This window comes from Homo sapiens, chromosome 15 (genome assembly GCF_000001405.40).
Source record: "Homo sapiens chromosome 15, GRCh38.p14 Primary Assembly".
NCBI lineage: Eukaryota > Metazoa > Chordata > Mammalia > Primates > Hominidae > Homo > Homo sapiens.
Genome location: NC_000015.10, coordinates 75,888,815 through 75,906,359, shown reverse-complemented (window position 1 = coordinate 75,906,359; position 17,545 = coordinate 75,888,815). Strand labels below are relative to the sequence as shown.

Genomic DNA, 17,545 nt, shown 5'->3' with positions numbered 1-17,545 from the left:
GGCTCTAATGACTGGGCTTTGGAGCAGCAAATCCCTCAATGGCAAGGAGTACACTTAGAGAGTCTAGACCTTGATTTCTAAATACCACACTCCATCAAAAGGAGCCAGGGCTTAATGGCCAATTCCAGGACCAAGGCAGGTAAAACCCAAGACAAGCTTAGAACATCTTGTGCCAGAAAACAAGAAAAGTGCTCAAAGATAATGGAGTCATCTCTAAAAAGACACTGAAGCCAGCCTGAAGGAGCTCCTACTAGCCAAACTAGGGGGTGAGAGGGGTAATTTGAGCACCAAAATACAGTAACAGATTATATCCCACTGAATTAAATAAGACTCCGAGAGTGTACAGATATAAATAAATAAATGAATTGAAACACGATATTTACATAGTTTCAAATGATCTCTTCACAAAACAATCATTACAGTAGAAGAGTGATTTTAGTGAAGACACTTGGCAAGCATCGCCTTAATTGAGTAATCAAAGGTAATACCACCAATAACAAGACGAATGGAAATCACATGCCACCTAAAGTATGCCGTGAAAAAAGCACAGCATCACTTCTGTGATTATTTCCTGCCAAAGACACAATTGATGGATGTTCTACAAAATAGCCTGTGATTTTCCTAAGTGTCAAGATTGGGAAAAATCAAGCAAAGCTTGAGAAACTGTTCCAGATCAAAGGAGATTAAAGAAACAGGACTTACTCAGAGCAAATTGCAATTGGGAACAGATCTTTTTGCCATGAAGAACCTTACTGGGACAACTGGCAAAATCTGAACCGAGTCTGAGGATAAAATGGTAGAAATGTATCAGTGATAATTTCCTGATTGTGACGGCTGCACCGTAGTTATGTCTGTCTGTAAGCCGTACTAAAGTAAACAGAGTGACAGAGCAGCAGGTTGGCACTTTACTGTCAAATGGTTCCCTTCCACTCCCCAGAGATGGTACACCCTGCAGCCCCTCTGACTCCACAGTTCGAGTCTTCATCTCTCCTGGTGTTGGCTCCCCTTTTGAAGTTGGGGGCCAGAGAAGCAAAAGAGTACAGGATCAGAAGTTGAAATATTTGGCTTTAAGTTTTGGTTCTTGGCTTTCTAGGTGTGCTCACTGAGCAAGACACACCCAGTTGTCTTCCCGGTAAAACAGACAACAAAAAGTTGCTTCAAGGGAAGCAGGTGAAGGGAAGGTTCTGCACAGCGTTGTTGTTAATAGTGAAAATGTGGATACTTAAAAGGCCCAACATGCCGGGCGCGGTGGCTCACGCCTGTAATCCCAGCACTTTGGGAGGCCGAGGCGGGCGGATCACGAGGTCAGGAGATCGAGACCATTCTGGCTAACACGGTGAAACCCCATCTCTACTAAAAATACAAAAAATTAGCTGGGCATGGTGGCGGGCGCCTGTAGTCCCAGCTACTCGGGAGGCTGAGGCAGGAGAATGGCGTGAACCCGGGAGGCGGAGCTTGCGGTGAGCCGAGATCGCGCCACTGCACTCCAGCCTGGGCCACAGAGCGAGACTACGTCTCAAAAAAAAAAAAAAAGGCCCAACATTTGATGAACGGTCAAATAAATCATGACACATCCTTACCGTGTAGTCACTAAAACTGATGTTTACAAAATCTTTTCACGGAACGAGATGTTCCTTTAATTAACAAAACTGGGATTTAAAAAAAAATAGTTCTCAAAGACTGAACCACCAACCTGCAAATGACTGTGCATGACACCCCTTGCTACTTGCCTCAAGCTCCTCTGCTACCACGCGAACCAAGCAATGCCCCTCCAGGTGGCCGGCCTCCGCCAGGCCTGCGGAGATCCAGGTTACGCTCCGATGGGTCCGCAATACTCTGCGCACACACTCCCTCCATAAGCGGCACACGCTGAGGACGCAAACGCACAAAGGATTGCGAACGGACGTTCATTTTCGTCTCTCCCACAGCTCACAAACCCCCACCCGCTGGCGCAGCAGCAGGAGATCCCTGCGGGATCCAAAGTCCCCGGGGTAGGTAGGTGTCAGTCAGGGCGCTAGTTCGGAAGAAGAGCCAGATATGGAGAAAACCTTAAGGGGAACTTCGCCCCTCAGGGAAGTCCCCCCGGGGCACCACGGCTGGGAGATACCTCGCGGGTAGGGGGTCACCTCAGGTAGGGCGAGCGAGCCGGGGACGGCCCTGGTGGGTCCCAAGGGTCTCTCCCCCCACCCCGCCAGCCTGGGACATGCCCACGGCGTGTCCCCAGGCAAGCTTCCCGCCTCCGCCTCCTCTCCTCACCAGGCCACCCGCAGCAACGCCTTGGCGGGCAGGAAGGTGAGCACACGCTCCACCACCTCCGCCAGGTTACTCAACACGAAGGTGCTCCGCGGGTCTACGGAGGAGCCGCGGCACTCGCCGCAGCAGCCTACCGGCTCCATTCCTCACCAGCCCGCCGGAACCAGTCCTACGGCGGCTCGGAGGAACCCGATTACGCCAGCATAGGGTTGCCCGGCCGGCGCGCACTGAGCAGGCGTCCGCGCCACTTCCGGCTGGACGGGGAAGGTGGGCGTGGCAACGCCGGTGCGTTCCCTCGTCTGGAGCCCGTACTCCGAGGTGTACTCCGTTCCGTAATACGCTCGGAACTGTTTTCTTCATTTTTGAGATTGGGTCTAATGCTGTGGCCAGGCGGGAGTGGAGTGGCGCGGCCTCTGCTCACTGCAGCTTCTACCTCCCAGGCTCAAGCGATCCTCCCGCCTCAGCCTCCCTCGTAGCTTTAACTACAAGCTCCCGCCACCACGCCCAGCTAATTTTTGTATTTTTTGTAGAGACGGGTTTCCAGGCTGGTCTGAAACTCCAGGGCTCAAGCGATACTCCCGCCTGGGCCTCCCAAGGTGCTGGAATTACAGACATAAGCCACCGCTCCTGGCAACTTTCTAGGAGGCCTCCTGCAGTGAAAATAAATTCTTCTTCTGTGCCTGTGCCTCTCACTGCCCTGGCACCGCCATATTTCTGAGTTTACATCTTTCTCTAATTCACAAATTCCTTGCAGGGACTAGGTAGTACTTATTGCTCTTCGTAGTCCCAATGCCTGTTTAAATAGCATAAGCTCGATTTATAAACGGACGTTTGCTTTTAAAAAATTGTCTTAGTGTGTGAAAATCACTGCCTTTATTCCTTGTAAACTTAGTTAACTCGTTGTAATCTTCAGGTTTAAAGTTTCGAATGAGTAAAATGGCATAAATAGCACCTGCCATTCTAAGGTAGCTGAGTGAGATGATTGCTGTGAAGCACGCCCCAAGCTGTGCACCAGTTCCCCGCCAGGGACATCAGATTCACCTGGAAACTACTAAGTTTTAGCACATTCCCGGTCCTTATCCCAGACCTCCTGAATCAGACACTGGGGGTGAGGCCCAGCAATCTGTTTTAACACACTTTATGACGATTCTGATGCATGCTCAAACTGAGAACCACCAAGAAATGGAAGCACAGCAGACACAGGTTTGTCCCCACCTAACATCCATTCCTCCCGCCAATTCCTTCCTAAGGGAGCCCTGATTTGATCGCCAGATCTTGGGCAGAAACTTGGTCTAAATTAGCAGTTCTCATTATGGCCTCAGGACCCTTTACACCCTAAAATATTGACACGACCAATAGTTTATGTGTGTTATGACTATCAATATTTACCATATTAAAAATTAAATCAGAACATCTTAATGCTTAACTCTTTTTAAAAAACCGATGTTATACATTAACGAAATATTTTTATGGAAAACAATTATTTCCCAAATCCTCCTTCCCCCACTGGTGGATAGTATGACATTGTCAGTGGCATAAGCCTCCTGAGTAGCTGTGGTTTTTTTCTTTTTTTTGGTAGACCCAGGGTCTATGTTGCCCAGGCTGGTCTCAAACTCCTGGCCTCAAGACATCCCTCTGCCTCCGCCTCCCAAAGCGTTGAGATTACAGGTATGAGCCACCAAGCCCAGCCAGTTTTTTCCCATAGTCTATTTATAGGCGCAGCTGCTTAAGGAAGCCAGATGGCCCAGATGTCACCAGAGCTTCCTGACCCCTTGCGGAATACCAGAGGAAGATAAACAGGCGCCCTCCAGTTACCTTTAGATAATTAACATAATGCTAAAATCCTCTCCCTAAAGAAAGCTCACTGGCATCTTACGAACATGGATGTATGAAGCAGCATGTTCAGGGACTATGCCTGCTTGTCTGGAACTCCAGTCTGTGCATGCCGTTCATACCTCCCCCGCCCCTCAGCTAACTCTTTAAACTCCCCAGCCTCCCATCCCTCTGGGAGAAGGTGCCTTTAGAGTATGAGCTCCCCTTCTCCATTCTCTGGCTACTGAATGAAACCTGACTGCCTTTCAAAGTGGGCGTTCTTTCTTTGTGGCTGATATAAAGTAGGGAAAGAGGACAGTTTACCAGTGACGGCATCACTACATTTTTGCAAATATTTAATTTGTCTTAATAGAAGACAAATAGATTCTCATATTTGCTTCTGAATTCAATCTGTTGCAAAATCACATCATGTAGCCTCTGGAAAATTCCATTGTACACATGGAAGAATGAGTGAAAATGGCAAATGTTTTAATATTATGAAAATAGTCTTTTAAAACCTCTTGAAATGGTCTCAGGGGTCTCCAGTGTTCCCCAAATAAGGCTTTGAGAACCATTTGTGCAAACTAATCACGATGGTTTCATTCTTTTCACCACCATTGGTTTAGGGGTGGGCACAGGTCCCTGATGTAGCCAAGGAAAGGCAAGAGGCAGTGTGCTTGATGGGATGGTGCTTTTAGAGATTTCCTCACCTCCTAAGGAGACACTAGAAGACAGGGCCATTTATCTACCTCTGGATCAAGTAAGGGGGCTGCACATAACATGCAACCAAAAGATGAAACCAACATAGAAAAATCTCAAGGAAGCAGAGCAAAGCCCAGATGTACAGTACCTGGAGTTGTCCTACCTCTGGACTTCTTGTATGTGAAATAATCTGTCAATTGTGTGCAAGGAGGCCATGGGTATGCTAAGGAAGGAGCAGATTATTTTCACTGGGGGAACTAAGGATAGCCATAAGGAAAAAGTAGCACTTGAATTTATAATGAGAATGGAAGAGGAAAAAGGCGGAGGAAAAGGTGACTATTGTACAGACTATTTCCAGGTTCTTTCACACTTTCACTTTCTCTTGTTAAATCTGCCTGTCTTCCAAGCCTCCCCTCACCACTTCCCTCCTTAAATATCTTATTCCAGAAACTCAATAAAGCCTACAAACACATCAAGCAGAGTTTTCTTATGAGGGAAAAATGAGAAAGTAATCTTTTTTTTGCTTGCCATGATCAGCACAAACAAAATTTTTAAATGGTTCTTTATTCATAAACTTGATGCAAGTTTACAAAATTTACTGTACATTGCCAAATAAATCTGCAATTAAAAATAAAATCCATTAAACAAAGCATGCCAAATGTGCAGCTATCAGTCTGCTTGCCATCAGGATATTAAAGAATTCAACAATGTATTCAAGATTTAGCCTTAGGCTTAAGGAACTTTACTGATTTAAAGAATTCTGCCTTGTCACTTGTTATCTGAGCAACTGGCAATCAGAACTTTATACAAATGTAATCAAGTGAACAAGAATACCAGAAAATCTATTTACTGCTCTCTTAACCAAAATGGAATCAAAAGAAATTAAACACACACAATGTAGAAATGACAAGTCTCTCAGATGTGGTTTACAAAGTTAAAAACTGAATCTCAAAGCTAATGCACAAGAAACACTTTTGAACTTTGTAACTTGTTTGTGCAGAAAAATGTGCTTCTGGATTTGTTAAAAGTGCTTAAGAACTAGAATTTACTTTTAAATCAAACGTGGGTGTATAAAAAAATCTATTACCAACCAAAAAGGACTGATTCAGGTAAGGCAATAAAATGGAGAGTACCTTGATTTGAGTCAGGTTCTATAAAAAAATTAACATATGTAGAGTTTCTATTAATCTTTCAATGTAAAAGCCATTGTTTTGACATGGCAAAAATTACTGTAAGAGTCTCCAAATTAAGTATCTTTTTGTACTTAACTGCACAGCTTTTGCTCAAGGAGTCTTTGTGCCAATCACTTTATAAGTTTATTAGTTTACAAACGATTGCAACATCCCGTTAATAAAATGGAAACGTAAGATGACTTAGTATTTTAAATAACTTGAAGCTCTGTACTGTGGCTCTTGTTCATAAGAAACACTGAACCAACAAGCAGCAGATTCAGCCCAGCCAAGACTCTGATGCCCCAGTGGAAATCACTACTCACAAGCCTTAATTGATACAGTTTTACACTGCTTTGCCTAAGAAGTACAATACAACTCAATTAAGAGTATTATCTTCAGGAAACAATTCATATCTTCACATAGTCATTAAAAAGTTTAACAATTTAATGAGTAGGTTTCCTATCACATTTTGGCAATATCATAAAATGGTTTTAGACATGAAAGAGCTATTATGATTTAGAAGGCCTTAAATTTCCTAAACCAATATTGAACATCGATTAAACCTGTATTGGCTGTAAATGGAACAATATATTGCAAATCCTTGTAACCCATGGGCTCAATATAGGAAAGTTACCCTAAAGCCTCAACTTCAGTAGCCTGATGTTGACTTGGCTGCTTTAAAAAGTTCACTTTTCAAGAAAAAGAGATAAGGAGTGGCCAGTATGTGTATTTATCAGGAAAAATACAGTAAAGGCCCCACTGCTCAGTCCAAGATATCTAAAATGAGCAAAATGCAAAGGCTGTAACTTATACTGGATGTCAGATGACAGATTATCCACTAAAATATCTATTAACTAACATCTTCGGTACTGCTGTAATAGGGGCACTCAAAGCTTTTGTCTGCATGTTAGAAAGATTTTCTTTAAAGCAACATTAGTCCAAACATACAACAGTCAACACATTTAGCCATCTTCCTTTGGAGGGGTGTACCAGCCTGAAATAGAATGAAAAAAAAAAAGTTAAAATAATTCTTAAATAAATTAGAAGAACTGGCATGTAATAAGGTTAGCTACAGTCTCTTTTCATAATTTTGGTGTTTAAAATCTACCGTAAAAAATATATATATATATTATATATATATTTTTTGAGACAGAGTTTCACTCTGTTACCTAGGCTGGAGTGCAATGGCGCAAACTCAGCTCACTGCAACCTCCACCTCCCAGATCAAGCAATTCTCCTGCCTCAGCCTCCCAAGTAGCTGGGATTATAGGCATGCGCCACTATGCCCCACTAATTTTTTTTTTTTTTTTTTTTTGGTATTTAGTAGAGACAGGGTTTCACCATGTTGGTCAGGCTGGTCTCCAACTAATGACCTCAGGTGATCCACCCACCTCCACCTCCCCAAAGTGCTGGGATTACAGGTGTGAGCCACTGCACCCAGTCTACTCTAAAAATTAAACTTACACTTGGATTGGGAACACTGCATTTTGCTATTTCACAACAGAAAGTTATTTTCTATGAATAAATTGTACCTGAGTTTTCAACACAAGAGCTCTGTATTAATGGCATCTCTAGCTAAAGATGACTGTGGAATATTAGACTAAAAGAATAAGTTTTATTCCACTTCAGTTCTATACTTGAAAGTAAGCCTCATGGAAAGTACTTATTTCCCCAAACAAAATCCTGGCGATTTAGAATACAAGGAACTTGGACTGTTATCGGAGCCATAACGTCATTTCACAATGACAAGGAAGCCATCGCAGCAGGTGCAATGACTAAATGACTATGCCTAAAATCAGAGTTAGTAGCAGGCCAAACTAGAATCCATCTTGAGCTATTGTACAACATGGTGACTATAGTTAACAATATACTATATTCTTGAAAAATGTTAAGAGTGGATGTAAAGTGTCTCACCATAAAAATGATAACTATGTAAGGTGATGCCTAGGTTAATTAGCTAGATTTAGTCATTCCACAGTTATGTATACTTCAAAACTTTGTACACAGTAAGTATAATATCTATTTTTTTAAAATAACAAAAAAATTTTAAGATTTAAAAAAAAACAAAACCCTAGAAGTCATCTCCCCTGCTTCTGACTCTATTACTCTTTCATCACAGCTAAGCTTACACATACCCACACACTCTCAAATACAGCATTTTCTATAAATATTTTTTGAATGCCAGTTGTAATGGTTAAGAAATAAAAACAAAGATAAGAAGAAATCTGTGTCCCAGGTTCCGCAAAAACCTAAGCTCTCTATAAAAAGGCAAATTAGACTAAGTACTGTTTAGTATGAAACTTTAGAATAGTATGAATATGCCAAGATCTATAAAGTATCAAAGTAGTACACAGGTTTCTTTGGATCTAATTTTGTGTGCTAGAAATTATTATTATGAAAACCTGGCCTTGTCCTCAAATTTTATCGTTTCTCTCTTCTGCTTGAAAATTTTGTTTTGAATACTATTTCCATAAGTAAGCAATCACTGAAAGAGTGACAAGTTTGCTTTGTCATTAAAATAAATGAGCACAAAACACAAATCTTAAGTCACAAACTGACACATTTCTAGCAAAGTAAAGAATACTTTACAGGCATGGTGGCTTGTGCCTACAGTCCAAGCTACTGAGGAGACTGAGGCAGGAGGATCACATCAGCCCAGGAACTTGAGGCTGCAGTCCACTATGATCACGCCTGTAAACAACCACTGCACTCCAGTTATAACAACAAGAACTCCATCTGTAAGGAGTTGCCTTTAACTCAGTTCCTAATATTTCAAGTAAGTAAAGTGAGTCATTCATTAATCTACTAAAAAAAAAAAAAAAGAAATCTTGATTCTGACTCTGAGATACCTAGGCCAAGTGTATAGGATACAAAAATTTTGACTGAAGTACAATGTTAAGGTTTTGTGGTGCAGTGGCTTACACCTGTAATCCCAGTACTTTGGGAGGCCGAGGCGGGCGGATCACAAAGTCAGGAGATCGAGACCATCCTGGCTAACACAGGGAAACCCGGTCTCTACTAAAAATACAAAAAAGGCACCTGTAGTCCCAGCTACTCGGGAGGCTGAGGCAGGAGAATGGCATGAACCTGGGAGGCGGAGCTGGCAGTGAGCTGAGATAGTGCCACTGCACTCCAGCTGGGGTGACAGAGCGAGACTCCGTCTCAAAAAACAAATAAAATAAAATAAAATAAAATAAATAAATAAATAAATAAAGATTTTGTATGCAGCACAAGTTTCTTTCACCATGGTAACAGCATTTTAAGAAACTAAAGCAAAAACAGAAAAATAAAATGGTAAGTATTAATACATTATCTAAAACTTCTTAAATGGCAATAAACACTTATTGAATTAAACATACCATTTTTCTCATGTATCTGTACAATGGAATTATAGGATTGTTGGGCTCTTGCTAGATTATATTGATTCTGAAAGAGAATTACACATTTTAAATCAAAAGTGTAATTAGGTGAAAATTATTACAATAAATTTATGAATGCATCACACTGTGCTTAAAAGAACATGGGAAACTGACTATCTCCATTTCAAAAACAATTTTAACTTAATAGCCTCATTTCTCAGTTTCATTATTCTCTACAATTTTATAAAAATAACAAAACCAAAATTGTACCCCAATAAAACTCAACAAGCCTCACAGTTCATTTTTATAAGTCTTCCTACCATTGGACAAGTACAAAGCTTTCTGGTTCTAGAGTCCGTCTCCATATTGCTGAATCAAGTTAAAGGATTATATCTGGATGTTAATAAAACTCAAACTGTCTTCACACAATTTCTATTTTTAAAAAAACTACAAAATATTACTTTCAGATAAGAAAATATTAAGCTTCCACAACTATACATATGAATGACATTTTAAGTTAGAAATCTAAAGAATGCCCATAATTGTCACCATGCTTACTAAAGGAGCCCTCTTTTGATAAAAATATACAATCTTTTTAAGGAGCCAAATCTAGGATTAATTTTGTCACCATAAGTACAACCAACCTATATCTTCGCTTCGAATTAATATACCAGGAGCACTCTCCATAGTGGTACCCATCTATCCACTATATTATGTGGCAGAAATTTTTGCATAATAAATTCACACAGCACAAGACTCAAAAATGTCTACATCCTAAGTGAAAACTCTCCCTCCTACTTGGTGCCCTGAACACCCAGTTTCCTCCCGTTCATCCCCCTTCCTCCACACAAGTTAACCACTATTACTAATTTCTTGTATGTCCCTCTTTAAGATTATTCATGTACAGCCCACTGTTATTAGCCACTGTCCCTGGCTTTCCTTCACTAACAGTTGCATGCTACAGACACTGGTCTGCCCCTTTTCTTGTCTAGCATATCTTGGAGAATGTTCCTTATCAGTATAGAACATACCTGTTTTAAACACTGAAATATTTCTATTATATGGATATTCAAATATTTAATCAGTCCCCTATTGGTGGACATCAGGGTTTCTCAATATTTTGCTGTTATAATGTTGCCAAGAGCAACCTTGTACGTATATCTGCTGAGTACTGGTAAAAATGTCCTAGAGTAGAGCTGCTGTGTCAAAAGATATATATGTGTAATTCTGAGATATTGCTAAATTGCCCTCTACATAACTGCACAAATGTGTCTGCCCACCAGCCATCTGTAAGAGTGCCTCGATGCAGCCTCACCAATGCAGTACTTCAAACATTTGTAGATTTCTGACAATATACTAGATGGACTCCCAGTATAGTTTTGATTTGTATTTCTATTGAGTGAGACTGAGCATGTCTCCATTATGTTCATGAGCCATTTATTTCTATTTCTGTAAACAGACTTTTTATACCCCCTTTTCCTATTTTTTTTTAACATGTTAAATTTATGTAAGGACTTTTCCTATTTTTCTACAGGGTAGTCTTTTTCAACATCTAAGAGCTCTTTAAAATAGTAAAGCCGGCCAGGCACGGTGGCTCACACCTGTAATCCCAGTACTTTTAGAGGCTGAGGCAGGTAGATCACCTGAGGCTGGGAGTTCAAGACCAGCCTGACCAACACGGAGAAACCCCGTCTCTACAAAAATACCAAATTAGCCAGGCGTGGTGGAGCACACCTGTAATCTCAGCTACTTGGGAGGCTGAGGCAGGAGAATCGCTTGAACCCAGGAGGCAGAGTTTGCAGTGAGCCCGAGATCGTACCATTGCACTCCAGCCTGGGCAACAAGAACAAAACTCCATCTCAAAATTTTTTTTTTTGAGACGGAGTCTCGCTCTGTCACCCAGGCTGGAGTGCAGTGGCACAATCTCGGCTCACTGCAAGCTCCGCCTCCCGGGTTCACGCCATTCTCCTGCTTCAGCCACCCCAGTAGCTGGGACTACAGGCGCCCGCCACCACGCCCAGCTAATTTTTTGTATTTTTAGTAGAGACAGGGTTTCACCGTGTTAGCCAGGATGGTCTCGATCTCCTGACCTTGTGATCCGCCCACCTCGGCCTCCCAAAGTGCTGGGATTACAGGCAAAAAAGTTTTTGTTTTAGTACTTTCACAAAAAGGACAAAAATAAAAGAAACAAACTGGACGTAAAAACTATACATACCCTGAAACTCCCAAATGACTGTGAAGCAGTCACTTTCCAACCCTACTGCCCACCACCCAGAATACAAGGAGAAAATAAGAATGTTGGCCTTCCCCAGTCTCAATTATCAGTAGCAAGGTACTCAAAAGCCCAGTTTAAACAAATGTTTCTGCAGAGACTTTACTGTACTGGGGGTCTAGCCCTTCCTATTCTTCTAACTCACTGATTTCTGCTTGTATATCTTTAATAATTTCCCCATTCTGCTTTCCTTCAGGTTCTTTTAAGAGATGGAGTCTTGCTCTGTCACTCAGACTAGAGTGCAGTGGCTGGATCTCAGCTCACTGCAACCTTCACCTCCTGGGTTCAAGGAATTCTCCTACCTCAGCCTCCTGAGTAGTTGGGACTACAGGCGCCTGCCACGATGCCCAGCTAATTTTCATGTTTTGTTTTGTTTTGTTTTTTTTACAGAGATTGGTTTCACCATGTTGCCCAAGGTGGTCTCGAACTCCTGAGCTCAGGCCATCCACTCATCTCAGCCTACCAAAGTGCTAGGATTATAGGAGTAAGCCACTGTCCCTGGCCTCCTTCAGGTTTTTTTTATTGTCCTTTCTAACAATCAGAGGCTTGATTCATTTTCATTCTTTTCTTAATGGCACAAGGATTTGGCAATGAACATTCCTCTGAGCTCTCCTTTAGTCTCTGATAAGTAATGATTGCATTATTGCTATTCTCTAGATATTCTGCAGTTTTAATTTCAAATCCCTGTTTGACCTAAAGGCTGTTTGCATGAGTTATACAATTCCAGAAAGAAGTATCTGTTTTCTGGTTTTATTATTAACTTATAGATTTAACTAAGATCAGAGAATGACACTGTCCTTTTCTGTTTTTCAGTATTTGAAGTGTTGTTCATTGAAAAAGATTAGCTTCTTGAATGTTCCAGACAGGAAGAGGGAGGGAGAGGAGGGGAGAAAGGAATAGATAGAATTTTAGTAATTTTAATTATGGTTCAATTCTAAGCATTTTAAAATTTCATTTTACTTTTTAAAACTATGATTTACAAGTGTGTTTAATTTCCAAATTCACATAGCTTTTTGTTAATCTCTTCATTATTGCCTTCTAACCTTAATTGCTTCATATTTAAATTATATGGTATGTATGGTACCAACTGTTTTTAAATCGTCTGATTTTATGGATCTATAATTAATTTTTCTCCCATAGTCCATATATGCTTGAGAACGATCTATATCTAATTATTGGGTACAGAGGTCTATATTTGTCTATTATACCATGCCTGTTCACTGGTTGTTCAAATCTACATATGGGCATTCTGTTTATCTTACTAGTAGTACACAGGGTATGTTGAAATCTCCAACTGTGATGGTGGACTTGTCAACTTCTCCCTGTGGTTTTATCAGTTTTTCCTGGGTATTTTGAGGCTATTCTGATAGGTACATAAAATACAAAAATTGCTATATCCTCCTAATTAACACTTATTATCAAATTGTTACTAATGCTTTCTGTTCCAGAATCCTATTTTGTTTGATACTAAAGCTGCATCATTTGTTTCTAGTTAATGTATACTGGCATATCTTTATCACTCTCCTTTATAAAAACTTTCAACCTTTTTGTACCTTCATATTTTAAATATATAGATTAAAACAGCTGGATTTTATTAATTCAATCTAACTGGTAACTTTAGTCCATTTACATTTGTTGTGACTGATTTATATAGACTTGCTTCTATCACCTTTACAACTTCTATTTCTCTCACTTTCTAGTGTAATTCTAATATCTCCTCCTGGGATTCCACTAAGACATATTTTAGACCTCATTCTGATCTCTCCCCACCAACCCCACCAACTTCTGCCCTATCATCTATCCTCATGTCTCTCTGTGTAACATTCTAACTTATTTTTTTGAGATAATCATCTAATCAATTAATTCTCTTCTGGTGTCTAATCTACTGAGTTTCTTATTTCAACAATTACATTTTTTATTTTGAGACAGAGTCTCACTGTCACCAAGGCTGGAGTGCGCAAACATGCCTCAGTGCAGCCTCGGTCTCCTGGGCTCAAGTGATCTTCCCACCTCAGCCTCCTGAGTAGCTGAGACTATAGACAGGTACCCCATACCCAGCTAATTGTTTTTTTAGGGTGGGGGGCGTATTTTTTGTGTAGACGAGTTCTCACCATGTTCCCCAGGCTGGTCTCCAACTCCTGGGCTCAAGCCATCCTCCTGCCTCGGCCTCCCAAAGTGTTGAGATTACAGGCGTGAGCCACCATACCCATCTACATTTTTTAATTTCTGTAAGTTCTATTTCATCCATTTTCTTTTCAGGTCTTCTTCATCATTCCTGGTGGTCTTGCTGCTTGCTCAATTTTATGATTCCATCTTTTTTTCTTTATATTAGATTTCACATATAACTATTTTCTCACAATTCTAATATCTGAAGTCTGTGTTCTGTATCTGATAATTCCAAAACCTACTGTCCTTGGGAAACATATCTATTATTTATTATTTCTGACAATTCTCAAATATGTTGGGTTGACTATTTGAATGCTATGATTTGAGTGAATTCTTTTAATCTTTGGGAATCCTACAGGCTTAAATTAGAGATGCTTTCCTACAAAAAGTATCTGTGTCTGCTTCTGATGACAGCTGTGGATACAACTAACATGAGACCACTTTACCATCTTGCACAATCCTGAGATTCTCCAAGAGATCTGGCTCCCCACCCTTGCTCATTTATACACAGAAGACTAGACTGCTTAGTATAGGTAGTGACTCACTTCCTCCTACCCTGGAAAAAACAAAACAGATCTCTCTTCTGAATGTGATCACAGTCTAGGGGATTCTGTGGGAGAATAAGTGGAGGTTATGGGCAGCAGGGAAAGACAGATGCCTTTCCTGATCATAGAAATAGGTCAGAAGCTGCCCTAAAGACTGTGTGCTCCAGGATTTCACTATTTAACTCAACTACCATTCCCTCCATAGTGAATGGAAGCTTCATAAAGCACCATCTTGCCTTTAAACCACAAATTCTTGCTAAAAGTCATGGTAACAAACCTCCGGCTTTGGAAGGCTGTCTCACTAATGTCCTAAAATTAACATTACAGCCTATGCTTCAGGTTAACTGAAAAGAAAACCAGCCTGAACAACATCCTTATGTCCCATGGCTTGCTCTCAGCTCCTCTTGGTTGGGCCTAGGGCAGCCAGACTGTCTAGTTCCAATCCTTGTTCTGCCACTTGTCACCTCAGACAAGTTATCTAACTAACTTCTGTATGCTTCAGTTACCTCATCTACAAAATGCAGATAATAATAGCACCTATTTTTTAAGTTATTAAGAGGATTGAGTTAATAAAAAGATTTAAAAAAAAAAAACTTGGTAAGCATAGGCACAGAGAAAAAAAAAAGTAAAAATAAATGAAAAGACTAGAGCCTAGCACATAAAAGCTTACCAGGAATTAGTTCTATAACATGAACTCAATTTTTTAAAACTTCAAAGTACATATAATTTTTAATTTACTACACTATACATACTAATAATAAGTTTACAACTGTAAACATCTGTTTACAAATAAGTTTTTGTTTACAACTGTAAACTTATAATGTTTATCTACAGCAAATATAACAGACTAAAAACAGATACGAAATCATTAAGTGATTATCAATTAGTATCTTTAATTTTCTTATAATTCCATATTTTCTATAGATCACTTTTGTAACAAGAAGAAAACAAACCAAATGAAAATGAAACTATCTCAAAAAAGAATTAAGTCAAGACAGGAAGAAAGCTTATAAAGTAATATAAAATGTATCTTATGGTTTATGTAAAATTCTTAACAGAAGTACCTTATTTGCTCCAAACTGCACTCTGGCTTTGCCTTTGACTAAGGTGGCATTTATTTGCATGATGACCGATTCTATTGAGTAGGCACTGCTCCAGCCCTACAGAAGAACAAAGTATCTCTAAAATACAGTAGTATTTCTGATTCCCACTTGGGAAGGCCTAACAAAATGGTATATAACTCAACAGCAGCAAATCAGTGTTAAAAAGACTGTAGTCAAGGGGAAAAAGTAAAATTGGAACATTTCCAGAATCTCACAAAAAAAAACAACAAACCAATGTTCTAAGTGCCCAACATGAGCAAATTAGAACCTTAAATAAAGGTCACTCTTAATGCCTATCCTAGCATAGATTCAGCACCAAGTACAATGTCATTTTATTGGTTTACCTTTTTCATTCTTGAAAGTAGACGCTATTTTAAAAATAAACTAAAATTTAAGAGTAGGAGCTATTAAAGAATTTTCTACTTACAATCTAATTTACATGATCAAAACACTAAATTGTGGGTGAAAATGGAGTATCGTAAGAAAAGTCACCTGTTTTGTGAGAAGTTCCATACATAATGCTCCTCCACCCAATACATACCTTAAAAAGAAAAAAGGAGTCATACAAAATTCTCGAGAATTATTCCTCCTTAAACAATTTCTAAGTGCCATTACCAAGAAAATATGCACACAAGTAAGGATGAGAAAATAACATGCAAACATGACAACAGTTGTTAGGGATACAGGACTATGGGTAATTTAAAAATTCTAATGTTATCATGCTAATGTAATCCCTCTGAAATTCTAGTCAATTTTTTCTAATGGTTCTTAGAACATAATACTTTCAGATTTGTATGATATCAGTAATTAAGAACTTAGCCCTAAATATTCCAAAGAATAGGGGCAGAAGAATCAGTTTCCTTAAATGGCGTTCACGTGTTCTTTACATCTGAAACTTTCTCTACCATGTTACAGCCATGAGTTTTTCCCCTGACAATGACACTGACCTTACCCTATCCATGCTATGAAGATCTGTATGGTTTTATGGTTCAAATTGTTTTTACCCATTCTGTTGTGAGAATCAAATGGTTCTGACCATGGAGCTTCTCTCTGGGACTCCCTTAAGCTCTTTCTAGGCCTGAAGACTATTCTCTGAACAAAAGATAACTTCTGGGGATGTACCAAATCTCCCATTAGAAAATCATTACTTAGATAACGATTTTTAACCTTTATCTTTCTCAAACAAAATTTCATTTCTCCTTCAATGTTATTTTAAATTTCAAAATACATAAATATCATGCCTTAAAAAATCAAGGGAATGATAGTTTTAGAACAAAAACTGTGGTAATTTTGAAAACACAAAAGCTAAGACCACTGATTAGGTCTGTGTGGACACCAAGTCCACCACAAATTGTTCTGTCCTCCGGGGCTCTGCCCATGCCTTTCCCTTGCTTGAGATTCCTACTGCTTCCTACCCTTCCAAATGCTGTATTTCCCCCCAGAAGACTTGCCAAGACCACTCTAGCCTGCACATCTTCCATTCCAGTTAACCAAAGGCATCTTTGTGTCAACTAACCAAATTACTTTGCAGACAAGGCATCTAAAAACTTTTACTGTAGACCACTAACATTAATAATTGTTACAGTGACAATATTTAATAATAAAATAAGGGAAAGAAGTCCTTTTCATCTCCCCCATCCTGGAGAATCCAAGCAAGTGTCTCTCCCCACTTGCTTTGCCCAAACCCTGGGACCTTTCAAAGTGAAAGATTAATCTAAAAGTGAAAGAAAATCTAAAAGAAAAACTCTCCAAAAATTTAAATTCAGGCGAAGGTTCATGGGATTAAATTTTTTTTTGTGTATTCTATTTCTGAAACATAGAAATCTATCTTCCACTCTTTAACTCTCCTACTGGGCTAAAAGAGTATTGTATATAATGTGCACTCACTGATTTAACAGAATTAGAAGATCCAGGTACTCATTTAGATTTTGGTTCCACAATTGCTGAAAGCTTAATAATCGGTTGATGAGTTAACATCAAACACAATCTTCAAATTTTGGAAATGCTGATGGTAGACAGGAACTTGTTTCGGGAAAAGGAAGTCTACAGTAGACATTTTACCTGTTATCCAGTCACAACCACCTTTCCTTTAAGGTACCCCACTCTTCCTTTGAGGATGCAGAGTCTTAAGAGGTGGGGGGAAGAAAGGGAGTTTTTGGAT

General features: G+C 39.7%; 2 protein-coding genes and 1 pseudogene across 16 annotated transcripts in view, besides 6 other annotated features; all 3 read right to left on the bottom strand.

Moving 5' to 3' along the window:
- The window catches only part of FBXO22 (F-box protein 22), a 38,634-nt gene extending 36,152 nt beyond the window's left edge, over positions 1-2,482 (bottom strand). For 2 of the 4 annotated variants that reach the window (NM_147188.3, NM_012170.4), the window contains exons 1-2: positions 2,257-2,482; positions 1,731-1,869 (exon numbers count right to left, since the gene is read on the bottom strand). In NM_147188.3, the coding sequence (NP_671717.1) occupies positions 1,731-1,869; positions 2,257-2,396 (279 nt within the window). In that variant the 5' untranslated portion in view covers positions 2,397-2,482. Of the gene's footprint in view, positions 1-702; positions 785-1,730; positions 1,870-2,256 lie in introns of those variants that run through there. The other 2 variants (NR_037623.2, XM_047432382.1) reach the window with 2 other exon arrangements.
- Positions 1,997-2,654: an enhancer, noted in NCBI's record as "NANOG-H3K27ac-H3K4me1 hESC enhancer chr15:76196047-76196704 (GRCh37/hg19 assembly coordinates)". NCBI's record gives its function as "activates a minimal SCP1, AML or CMV promoter by ChIP-STARR-seq in primed H9 embryonic stem cells {active_cell/tissue: H9 hESC(primed)}" and the evidence as "EXISTENCE:reporter gene assay evidence [ECO:0000049][PMID:30033119]".
- Positions 2,091-2,160: a silencer, noted in NCBI's record as "silent region_6686". NCBI's record gives its function as "represses an Ori minimal core promoter by ATAC-STARR-seq in GM12878 lymphoblastoid cells {active_cell/tissue: GM12878}" and the evidence as "EXISTENCE:reporter gene assay evidence [ECO:0000049][PMID:35858748]".
- Positions 2,211-2,260: an enhancer, noted in NCBI's record as "active region_9867". NCBI's record gives its function as "activates an Ori minimal core promoter by ATAC-STARR-seq in GM12878 lymphoblastoid cells {active_cell/tissue: GM12878}" and the evidence as "EXISTENCE:reporter gene assay evidence [ECO:0000049][PMID:35858748]".
- Positions 2,281-2,380: an enhancer, noted in NCBI's record as "active region_9866". NCBI's record gives its function as "activates an Ori minimal core promoter by ATAC-STARR-seq in GM12878 lymphoblastoid cells {active_cell/tissue: GM12878}" and the evidence as "EXISTENCE:reporter gene assay evidence [ECO:0000049][PMID:35858748]".
- Positions 2,655-3,314: an enhancer, noted in NCBI's record as "H3K27ac hESC enhancer chr15:76195387-76196046 (GRCh37/hg19 assembly coordinates)". NCBI's record gives its function as "activates a minimal SCP1, AML or CMV promoter by ChIP-STARR-seq in primed H9 embryonic stem cells {active_cell/tissue: H9 hESC(primed)}" and the evidence as "EXISTENCE:reporter gene assay evidence [ECO:0000049][PMID:30033119]".
- Positions 2,741-2,830: an enhancer, noted in NCBI's record as "active region_9865". NCBI's record gives its function as "activates an Ori minimal core promoter by ATAC-STARR-seq in GM12878 lymphoblastoid cells {active_cell/tissue: GM12878}" and the evidence as "EXISTENCE:reporter gene assay evidence [ECO:0000049][PMID:35858748]".
- The window catches only part of UBE2Q2 (ubiquitin conjugating enzyme E2 Q2), a 57,632-nt gene continuing 45,368 nt past the window's right edge, over positions 5,282-17,545 (bottom strand). For 6 of the 12 annotated variants that reach the window (NM_173469.4, XM_005254788.3, NM_001284382.2 and 3 more), the window contains 4 exons: positions 15,877-15,925; positions 15,346-15,441; positions 9,299-9,365; positions 5,282-6,933 (listed from right to left, as the gene is read on the bottom strand). In NM_173469.4, coding sequence (NP_775740.1) covers positions 6,902-6,933; positions 9,299-9,365; positions 15,346-15,441; positions 15,877-15,925 — 244 coding nt within the window. In that variant the 3' untranslated portion in view covers positions 5,282-6,901. 12 annotated transcript variants of the gene reach the window in all.
- RN7SL510P (RNA, 7SL, cytoplasmic 510, pseudogene) lies at positions 11,058-11,320 on the bottom strand (annotated as a pseudogene).